Here is an 8,981-nt window from a genome sequence, read left to right on the forward strand (position 1 = left end):
TAATATTGATATCTTTCTCTAGGATTAGGATGTTCTCTGTTATTGTCCCTCTGAATAAACTTTCCACTCCTGTCTCCCTCTCTATCTCTTCTTTAAGGCCATAATACTCTGAGATTTGCTCATTTGGGGCTATTTTCTAGATATTATAGATGTACTTCATTCCTTTTTATTCTTTTTTCTTGTGTCTCCTTTGACCATGTATTTTAAAATAGTCTATCTTCAGGCTCACTAAGTCTTTCTTCTGCTCAATCAATTTTGCTGTTAAGAGACTCTGTTGCATTCTTCAGTATGTCAATTGCATTTTTCAGCTCCAGAATTTCTGCCTGATTCTTTTTAATTTCAATCTCTTTGCTAAATTTATCTGATAAAATTCTAGTTTCCTTCTCTGTGTGTCTTAAATTTCATTGAGTTTCCTCAAATCAAGTATTTTAAATTCTCTGTCTGAAAGGCCACATTTTCCTGTGTCTCCAGGATTGGTCCTTGGTGCCTTATTTAGTTCATTTAGTAAGGTCATGTTTTACTGGATGGTCTTAATGCTTGTGGATGTTTGTCAGAGTCTGGGCATTAAAGAGTTAGGTACCTATTGTAGTCTCTGTAGTTTGTGCTTGTTTGTACCCATCCTTCTTGGGAAGGTTTCCCAAGTATTTGCAGGGACCTGAGTGTTGTGATCTATGTTTTTGTGTCACTACAGCCATATCTGCATTAGTGAGTACCCAGAACTCAGTAGTGCTCTTGGAGACTCGTAGAGGTACAGTCTTGATGGTCTTGATTAAGATCCAGAATTATCTGAATTACCAGGCAGAGACCCTGTTCTTGTCCCTTACTTCCCCCCAAACAAATGCAGTCTCTCTCTTGGCTGAGCTGCCTGGAGCTGAGGAAGGGATGACACAAGCACCCTTGTGGCCACCACCATGTGCTGGGTCAGACCTGAAGCCAGCACAGCACTTTGTCTTGCCCAAGGCCTGATGTAACCACTGCCTGGCTACTGTCTATGTTTCCTCAATGCCCTAGGGCTCTGCAATCAGCAGGTGAAGAAGCCAGCCAGGCTTGTGTTCTTCCCTTAAGGGCAGCAAACTCCCCCAGGCCCTGGGCAGGTCTAGAAATGCAGTTGGGAGCCCAGGATTTGAATCAAAAACTTCAGAAATCTATCTGGTATTCTATTCTACTGCATCTAAGCTGTCCCTCAAACCACAAGACAAGGCCCTTCCCCTTGCACCCTTAACTTACCACAGTCAGAGGAGCCTCTCCCAGTGGCTACCACCACCACTGGTCCAGTAGGAGTTCTGACGGGCCACCGCCAATGTTCACTTAAAGCCCAAGCCTCCTCAGTCAGCTTGTGGTGAATGCTGCCAGGTCTAGGACTCGCCCTTCAAGGCACTGGTCTTCCCCTGGGGTAGATTCACTTTCAGTCTATGTGTGTCTATGTAGGTGAAGTGTTATTTTTGTAGATTGCCCAGGGCAGGCTCAGAAATGGCATCCAAGAGGCAAGGTCTGGAATTGGGGACCCCCAAGAGCCTGCTTGGTTCTCCACCCCACTGTGGCTGAGCTGGTACCTGAAGCACAAGACAAAGTCCCCTTTATTCTTTTTTTTTTTTTTTTTTTTTTGAGGAGTCTTGCTTTTGTCCACTGGGCTGAAGTGCAATGGTGTGATCTTGGCTCACTGAAACCTCCGCCTCCCGGGTTCCAGCAATTCTCCTGCCTCAGCCTCCTGAGTAGCTGAGACTACAAGCACCTACCACCATGTCTGGCTAATTTTCATATTTTTCGTGGAGATGGGGTTTCACCATTTTGGCCAGGCTGGTCTCAAACTTCTGACCTCAGGTGATCCACCCACCTCGGCCTCCCAAAGTGCTGGGATTACAGGCAAAGTCCCCTTTACTCTTACCCCTGCTTTTCTCAAGCAGAAGGAGTCTCTCCTCATAGCCATGTTGGAATGTAGTAGGTCATACCTAAAGCCAGCACATCTCAGCGTCTCACCCAAGGACCATGGCATGTGCTACCCGGCTACTGCCCCTGATTATTCAGGGCACAAGCGCTCTTTAGTCAGCACGTGATGAATCCTGGCAAGACTGGGTCCTTTTCTTCATGGCAGCAACATTTCTTGGGCCCAGAGTGTGTCCAGAAGCATTGTCCAGGTGCTAGGGCCAAGAATAGGAGACTTACAACTCTGCCTAGTGCCCTAGCCTACTGTGGCTTAGCTGGTAACCAAGATACAAGACAAAGTTTTATTTACTCTTCCCTCTCCTCATATGGAAGGAAAAAGTCTTTCGGTGCCGTGAGCTACACTGCCTGGGGTTCGGTGAAGGGTAGCACAAGCACTTCTTTATCCACCCTGACTGGTGTTTCACTAGGTCCTGTGTCCCTGAAGTCCACTGGCTCTGAGCCTAACACAGCATTAAGACTTGCCTAGGAGTTGCAGTCCTTGTGGCCTGGACTGCCTTTCAAGTTTATTTAGAACCCCAGAGCACTTTAGTCCAGAGTGGTGAGGCTTGCTGGAACTCAAGTTCCAACCACTCAGATGAGTGGTTCCCATCTGGCTAGGACGGTTTAAATGCTCCCTCCATGGGCACCAGCTAAGTTCTGCCCTGTGTTGCTTTCCACTGTGGCTGGGTAGTACTGAGTTCCAATGCAAAGTCCCATAATTGCTGCACTCTCCCTCCTCCAAGTGCACAGAGTCTTCATGGTACACAGCCACTGTGAGGATGGGGGAAGGGTGACATCAGCAATTCAAGACTGTCTATCCTACCCTCCTCAGTGCCTCTTTCAGTGACATGAAGTTAATACCAGGTACTGTGATTGTTCACATGATTTTTAGTTCTTATGAAGGTGATATTTTAGTGTAGGTAGTTGTTGAATGTGGCTGACTGCCACAGTTACTACTTGAGACCATCACTATGACAGTTACTACTGTTACTACTTAAGACCATCATTACAAGACTGAATGAAGGGGGACGTATGCAGAAATGAAAACTTAAGACAAAAGTAACTATTTTAAAGGAAAGGTAACATGTGGAAGAAGAAGAGAGATGAAGAGGGCTCCCTGCTTCTAGTGAGCAAAGGCAGCCACCTGAACCTCTACAGCCCTTCGTATTTATTGGGTAGAAAGAGTAGGGAGGAGGAAATAATGACTGATCAGCTGCTTAATTGATCAGAGGTTCACATTGTTGCTAACAGGCTTCAGATGTGCTTAATCACAAGAAACACTTGTGCCTGGGGCGTGACTGCCCTCATCATTCCTTCTGGGTGACAGACACAGTTTGTCAGTTTTCCAACATCCTGCTTTCATAGAACAGTTTGCTGTTTACTCATATAACCTCCAGTGGTATACTGAGTTGATCACGATCCTCACTCCTTCAGCCTGCAACAGTTCAATTGCATGTTCTTGCAGGGAGGATGATCAGTGGAGGCTTCCATTTTGCCATTTGCTCCTCCTCCCCAGAAGTCAAGTTCGTGATTAAATTTTGATTATTTATATTTTTCTATTGATTTTTCCGCTTTACATTGCCAAATATATTAACATAATGAATTTTATTTCTTCTATTAATATAATTATGTGTAGTTTTTTGTTTCTAATGACATTTGTGACTTATCTCTTCTCGTGTTTTTTGACTTGGCAAAATTTTTCCATTTTATTGTTTTCTTGGAAGAATACTAGTTGTTTATTGAAGCACTGGATTTTTTATATGTTTTTATTTTATTAATTTCAGTCTTTAACTTCTATTGATTTCTGTCTTCTACGTTTTTAGGCTTATGTATTGTTCTTTTTTTGACTTAAATATTTATTTACTTTATGTAGTACTTATTTTTTTCCAAGGAGTTAATTTAAGACTACAAATTTTCTTTGAATAATGCTTTGGCTAAATTCAACAGGTTTTTATATGTGCTTATTGCTAGATCATCTATAATGTCAATTTGATTTCTTCTTCTTTAATATAGGAATTATTTAGAATACTTTTTGTTAACATTCAAGTGTAGAGATTTTAAATTGCGGTGTGCACATACTTATAATTAGTTATTGTAATTAGAATAAATAATTTTTAAAATGTGGCTTTTATGAGGTCTACTTTGGAGAATGTGTTGTCTTCTATGTAGTCTAATACATGGACAATTTATTTTTTTATTTATTTTTATTATACCTTAAGTTTTAGGGTACATGTGCACAACATGCATGTTTGTTACATATGTATACATGTGCCATGTTGATGTGCTGCACCCATTAACTCGTCATTTAACATTAGGTATATCTCCTAATGCTATCCCTTCCCCCTTCCCCCACCCCACAACAGGCCCCGGTGTGTGATATTCCCCTTCCTGTGTCCATGTGTTCTCATTGTTCAATTCCCACATATGAGTGAGAACATGCGGTGTTTGGTTTTTTGTAATACATGGACAATTTAAAAAATACATTCTAGAGGTGATCAAAAAAGAACTTGTCACGCACATCTGTGTGAAGAGATCACCAAACAGGCTTTGTGTGAGCAATAAAGCTTTTTAATCACCTGGGTGCAGGTGGGCTGAGTCCAAAAAGAGAGTCAGCAAAGGGAGATAGGGGTGGGGCAGTTTTATAGGATTTGGGTAGGTAATGGAAAATTACAGTCAAAGGGGTTGTTCTCTGGCGGGCAGGGGCGGGAGTCACAAGGTATTCAGTGGGAGAGCTTCTGAGCCAGGAGAAGGAATTTCACAATGTGATGTCATCAGTTAAGGCAGGAACCAGCCATTTTCACTTCTCTTGTGATTCTACAGTTGCTTCAGGTCATCTGGATGTATACTTGCAGGTCACAGGAGATATGATGGCTTAGCTTGGGCTCAGAGGCTGACAGAACTATTCTATGTTGAATACAGTGTTGTACATATATGTGAATGTTTCATCAGTCTTAATTGTGTTGTCCATGTACTCTATGTTCTTATTCATTTTTTATCTACCCAATCTTTTAATTTCTTTAAAAAGATGTCTTAATTCCCCTTTTATGAATGTTAATCTGATAATTATCTTTGTTCTTCCAATAAATTTTCTATGTTTCAAAATAATTTTTGGTATATTATCTATGTGCTTTTTGCTCTTGGTAATGTCTTCTTTCCCCGTTTTTCTTCCTCCCTTCAAACCAGACCTTAGATCTTTCTTGCCTCAAGGGAGGAAAACTGCTACAGAAAAGAAAACAGAAGAAAATAAAATTCAATATTAGAGTTGAATGCTTTTGAGTTGTACATGCCTGCATTTCACAAACCTAACTTATGATGTATTACAGTCCCTAAGCTATGTAATAGATTTGCAAGAATTATGATGTTTTAATAGCTAGTTTTTACTATCTCAGACTAAATGCAGGTATACTTTGGAGATATTGCAGGTTTAGTTCCGGACCACCCCAATAAAGTGAATATCTCAGTAAAGTGAGTCACATGAATTTTTTTGTTTCCCAATGTGTACAAAAGTTATGTTTACATTAAACAGTAATCTATTTTGTGTGCAATATATTACGCCTAAAACATATACATACCTTAATTTTAAAATACTTTATTGCTAAAAAATTCTAATGATCACCTGAGCCTTCAGTGAGTCGTTTTCTTTTTGCTGGTGGAGAGTCTTGCCTGCTGTTAATGGCTGCTGACTGATCAATAAGGTTGTTGCTGAAGGTTGAAGTGGCTGTGACAATTTCTTAAAGTAAGACAGCAATTACATTTATCATATAGATTGGATCTTTCACAAAAGACTCCTCTGTAACATGTGATGCTATTTGATAGCATTTTACCCACAGTAGAACTTATGTCAGAACTAGAATCAGTACTCTCAAACCCAGCTGCTGCTTTTTCAACTAAGTTCATATAATATTCTAAATCCTTTGCTCTCATTTCAACAATCTTCACAGCATCTTTGCCAGAAGTAGTTTTCATCTCAAGAAACCACTTTCTTTGCTCATCCATAAAAAGCAACACCTCATCTGTTCAAGTTTTATTATGAGATTTCAGCAATTTCATCACATGTTCAGGCTTCACTTCTAATTCTAGCTTTCTTGCTATATCTACCACATCTGCAGATACTCCCTCTACTGAAGTCTTGAAGGCCTCAAAGTCATCTATGAGGGTTGGAATCAACTTCTTCCAAACTCCTATTATTGTTATTTTGACCTCCTCCCATGACATCTAAAATGGTGAATCTTTTCCAGAAAATTTTCAATTTACTTTGCCCACATCCATAAGAGAAACCACTATCAATAGCAGCTACAGCCTTACAAAATGTATTTTTTAAATAATAAGACTTTAAAATTACTCTTGATCCATGAACTGCAGAATGGATGTTTAGTGGGCCTGAAAACAATATTCATCTCCTTAAACATCTCCATCAGAGCTCTTGGGTGACTAGGTGCATTGTCAATGAGCAGTAATATTTTGAAAGGAATCCTTTTTTCTGAGCAGTAGGTCTCAACAGTGGACTTAAAATATTTATTAATCCATGCTGTGAACAAATGTACTGTCATCCAGGCTTTCTTGTTCAATTTATAGGGCACAGGTAGCATAGATATAACATAATTCTTAAGAGCCCTAGGATTTTTGGAATGGTAAATGAGCGTGGGTTTCCACGTAAAGTCACCAGCTGCATTAGCCCCTAACAAGAGAGTCAGTCTGTCCTTCACAGCTTTGAAGCTAGACACTGACTTCTCTTAGTTATGAGAGTCCCAGATGAAATCTTCCAACATATGACTATTTCATCTACACTGAAAATCTATTTAGTGTGGCCACTTTATCAATTATCTTAGCTGGATAATTTGTTGCAGCTTCTATATTACCACTTCCTGGTTGCACTAATATATTATGAAGACAGCTTCTTTACTTAAACCTCATGAACCAAGCTCCTAGCTTCAAAATTTTCTCCTGCAGCTTACTTACCTTTCTCAGCCTTCATAGAATTAAAGAGAGTTAGGGCCTTGCTCTGGATTAGGTTTTGGCTTAAGGTAATGTTGTGGTTGGTTTGATTTATCTAGACCACTAAAACTTTCTGCATATCAGCAATAAGGCTGTTTCACTTTCTTATCATTCATATGTTTACCAGAGTAGCACTTTTAATTTCCTTCAAGAACTTTTCCTTTGCATTCCCAGTTTAGCTAACGGGTGCAAGAGCCCTAGTTCCAGCCTGTCTTGGCTTTTGACATGGCTTCCTCTCTAAGCTTCATCATTTCTAGCTTTTGATTTCAAGTGAGAGATGTGTGGCTTTTCCTTCCACTGGAGCACTTGGAGGACACAGCAGGTTTATTATTTGGTTTAATTTCAATATTTTTGTGTCTCAGGGAATAAGAAGGACAGGTGGAGAGATAGGGAAAGGACGAGTTGGAGGAGCAGTCAGAACACACACAACATTTATCGGTTAAGTTTGCCATCTTATATGGGCAAGATTTATGACACCCCCCAAAATTTACAATCATAACATCAAAGACCACTGATCACAGATTAGTGTAACAGATATAATAATAAGGAAAAAGTTTGAAATACTGTGTGAATTGCCAAAATGTGACATAAAAACATGAAGCGAGCACACGCTCAATAAAATGAACCACAGTGGTCAGGACTCAAAGTGATTTCAATGAACTGGAGTGCTAGGATATCTAGCTAAGATACCAGCAGGTTCAAGCTGGGTACAGTGATGCATGCCTGTAGTTGCAGCTACTGTAGAGGTTGAGGCAGGATGATCGCTGGAGCCAAGGAGTTTGCACAATGATCACACCTACAAATAGCCACTGCACTCCAGCCAGGACAACTTAGCAAGACCCTATCTCTAAAACAAACAAACAAAAATCCCACAAAATTTAGCAGGAACCAATTCAAGTTGTATAGGGCCTGAAGCCTATAGAATTTGAAATACCCTCTTTAACAACAACAAAATACAACATTATGAATAACGACAAAAAAGAATCAAGTACAAAAGTAAATATTTATTAGCATGGGAAAGAAATCACCACAGTCTTGGAGTTATGTCCCTTTATTCAGAGAAGCTTACTTTAAAATATTTCTTGATTATAATCTAGTTTTTATTCCCCACCTAGAACACTCTACAAGTCCCAGAATCTCTCAGCATTCACAGAGGCCATACGAATGAAAGACCCTGAAGCTTAAGCTTTATTAGCTTCAGAGTATAACTACCTCTGGCAAAAGTTCTACATTTATGTTAAAATAATTAAATTTTATTTTTAAAATAGAGAATGAAGAGAGCCTGACTTTGAGACACTTGTGTTAAAAAAAAGTCAGGGGAATTTTCTTCAATCACAATCTTCCTGTACATTAATATTATGACAGTAAATAAAAGTGGGCCAGCTTAGGCAAGGAATATTCTAACTTTAACATATGCATTAGCCAAATAACTTCGGGGAGTTCAAATTGAAAAAGAAACATTGGCAAAGCACAGCCATCTACTAAGGGAAGCAGATAATATGACGAGAGAGATTCTTGCCATATGAGGAAAGGACTACTGAAAGAACTGAAGTGTTTGGCTTTGGGAAGTAAATGCTGCTGGGAGAGAGCTGATGAGCAGCCGTGTGCCACTTCAAACTATACTACAAGGTTACAGTAACCACACTGTATGACACTGGTACAAAACAGACACATAAACCAATGGAACAGAATAGAGAATGCAGAAATAAGAACACATACCTACAACCATCTGATCTTTGAAAAACCTGACAAAAACAATGGGGAAAGGATTCCCTATTTAATAAATGGTGCTGGGAGAACTGGCTAGACAGATGCAGAAAATTGAAACTGGACCCCTTCCTTACACCTTATACAAAAATTAACTCAAGATGGATTAAATACCTAAATGTAAAACCCGAAAGTATCAAAACCCTAGAAGAAAATCTAGGCAATACCATTCAGGACATAGGCACAGGCAAAGATTTCATGACAAAAACGCCAAAAGCAATTGTGACAAAAGCAAAAATTGACAAATGGGATCTAACTAAATGAAAGAGCTTCTGCACAGCAAAAGAAACTATCAT

This window comes from Homo sapiens, chromosome 3 (assembly GCF_000001405.40).
Source record: "Homo sapiens chromosome 3, GRCh38.p14 Primary Assembly".
NCBI lineage: Eukaryota > Metazoa > Chordata > Mammalia > Primates > Hominidae > Homo > Homo sapiens.